Below are 2,422 nucleotides of genomic sequence, written 5' to 3'. Positions count from 1 at the left end.
GCTTTTTAAGTTTTCCAGCTACCATATTATTTGCCCTAACTGTTATCTACCACTTTAGTCTACCATGATTTAAAAAAGTTGCCTTTCAATGTTTTCAATAAGTATGCTAGTTAAAAAGACTTTCATGGGCCAGTTACAAATGAGGTCAAATAAAGACAGTTTTATAAGTGGTATCTTGCAGTAAGCCATGTTCCAGGTCAAACAATAATTCTCAGGGAACTAAGCTGAAGGCTGCCAGATTGCTAGTAGTCAGCGATTGAGAGATATTTATTTTCAAGGTGACTGTGTAACTTGAGAGAGGGTGATGAGAATAAGCAGCCTAAAATACCACAAAGCTTACAGCTCTTACCATAATTTAACCTTTCTTTCTCTTTTGGTTCTTTGTTTATTAAATAAATTATTTAAGAGTTTTAAAAGAGCTGATTCTGATTATTTTTGCACATTTTTAATTGTTTATGTGGGGGAGATAATTTGCATATGCCCTCACATCATCATTTGTATTGCTATCACTCTTCTTCTTCATATTATGGTCAAATGTAATATCACTAGAAATAAAAATATTTTCATGAGCACTTGCTAAGATCAAGATTCAGCCTTAAACTTGACCTTTTCAGAAATGCTTTTCAATATTCAGAAGGTAGTGGTTCCTTCCTAAATAACACAATGTAGCTGTAAACAATTGGATCCATTTCCTTTCCTTACCCATTTCATTCAACAAATGTCTTTTCCCTCAACTCCCTTATGTTTTAGAATTATCTGACTCCTGTGGTCATCTTCTTTCTGAGGGTTAGCAATCATGAAATAACTTCTAAGCATATAAGTTTTTAGAAATTCATTTACATGATGTATAGTAGACACACCATCTCTCATGGAATTGAAACAGGATTCCTTTTTATCTCAAACCTGCAGGTTGTTGGTAAGCATGTAAGTGATACTTTTCACTTTGGCTACATCACACCATTCTAAATTCGTATCTTTTCAAATGCTATTATTTCTGACATTTCAAGCTGTAAACCTAGAAAGGCAGTACTCAGATGTCCACTTTGTGGATTTTGTATTTTTCTACGTGATAGGCCTATGTAATAATATAGTTTTCCCTTTCAGGCACTTGGAATAATTTAAAGCAAATTATTTTCATGGAAAACTGATCCATGTTTGAGTCCTCAAATGCTTACACTAGGAGGGAAGTAACCTTTTCAGATGAGTGTCTGTTTTACTACATTTCCGCAAGAAACATCAAATTTCATATTTCACTATTTTTAAACTAGAGAAACCTAGGAAATTGTTATTTTCCAAGAACAATGTGATGCTGACTTTCCCCTTCTCCCTTTGCCAAACAGTGTGATAGAATTTTCCGTCATTCTCACAAGAATTAACAATTAATTATTCTATTACTGTTTCAAAATAAAAATTCTCTGCCACTATCTCCACAAAATTTGTCACTTTGCCACCACCAGCACTATGATGACTGAGAATAATCAGAGCATAATTTGATTCCTATAATGTTAATAGAAGCCAACTAAATGGACATCATTTATTTGGTAAGTGTTAGAGTGTAAGCTCCACGTAGTCAGTTTTTTTATCTGTTTTTTTCAGTGTCAGATACCAAGATTTGAGCACAGTTTCTGATGTATACTCAGTGCTAAATAGCATGTTGAATGAAGGGGTGAATGACTCCTGTGCTCAAATTCTATTTGATTAATTCAAACATAATCTGCCTCTTGTGCACAGGATGAAATTATCCTGACTCTGTATTTTTAATTATAATAATAGCAATATGAAATATATCTGCATAATTTTATAAAATTCACAAAATCATTTACAGTCCGCATTTTCTCACCTAAGACTCTAAACAGAGCAAGGCCTTATTATCATAATTTTATTGATAATCACATTTAGACTAGGAGAAATTGAGTGTGATTTATCCAAGAGTCACAGAGTGAGAAAATATCAAGAGGAGGTTTCAAACTCAGGGCTTATGACTTCTGAGTCTCTATGTATTTCACTACATCCATGCATTGTATATAGTATTTTTCAAAGTTTGCAAAGCAATGCCCCTTATTTACCTTATGTGATTCTTTTGTTTCTCCCCTTCCCCAACTTTGGAGATAAGCAGGGTTTTGTTTATCTAATGCTACACAAAAAGTCACCCCCAAACTTGGAATCCAAAATAATTATTTATGGTAATGTGTGTTGACTGAGCTCAACTGGTTATTTCTCACTTGAGATATCTCCTGGAGTGTCGGTCAGATGGTAGCAGAATCTAGAGTCATCTGAAAGTTCAACTAGACTGGACAACCAAGAAAGTATCTTCATTCACATGTCTGACACCTCAGGTGGGATTGCTAAAAGAGCAGACACTATAGCTCTTTTTCTTTTTGTGGACTCTCCATATGGCTAGCTTGGGCTTCCTCAAACTTAG

This window comes from Homo sapiens, chromosome 2, assembly GCF_000001405.40.
Source record: "Homo sapiens chromosome 2, GRCh38.p14 Primary Assembly".
In the NCBI taxonomy this organism is placed as follows: Eukaryota; Metazoa; Chordata; class Mammalia; order Primates; family Hominidae; genus Homo; species Homo sapiens.
Note: the sequence above shows the minus strand (reverse complement) of the source record.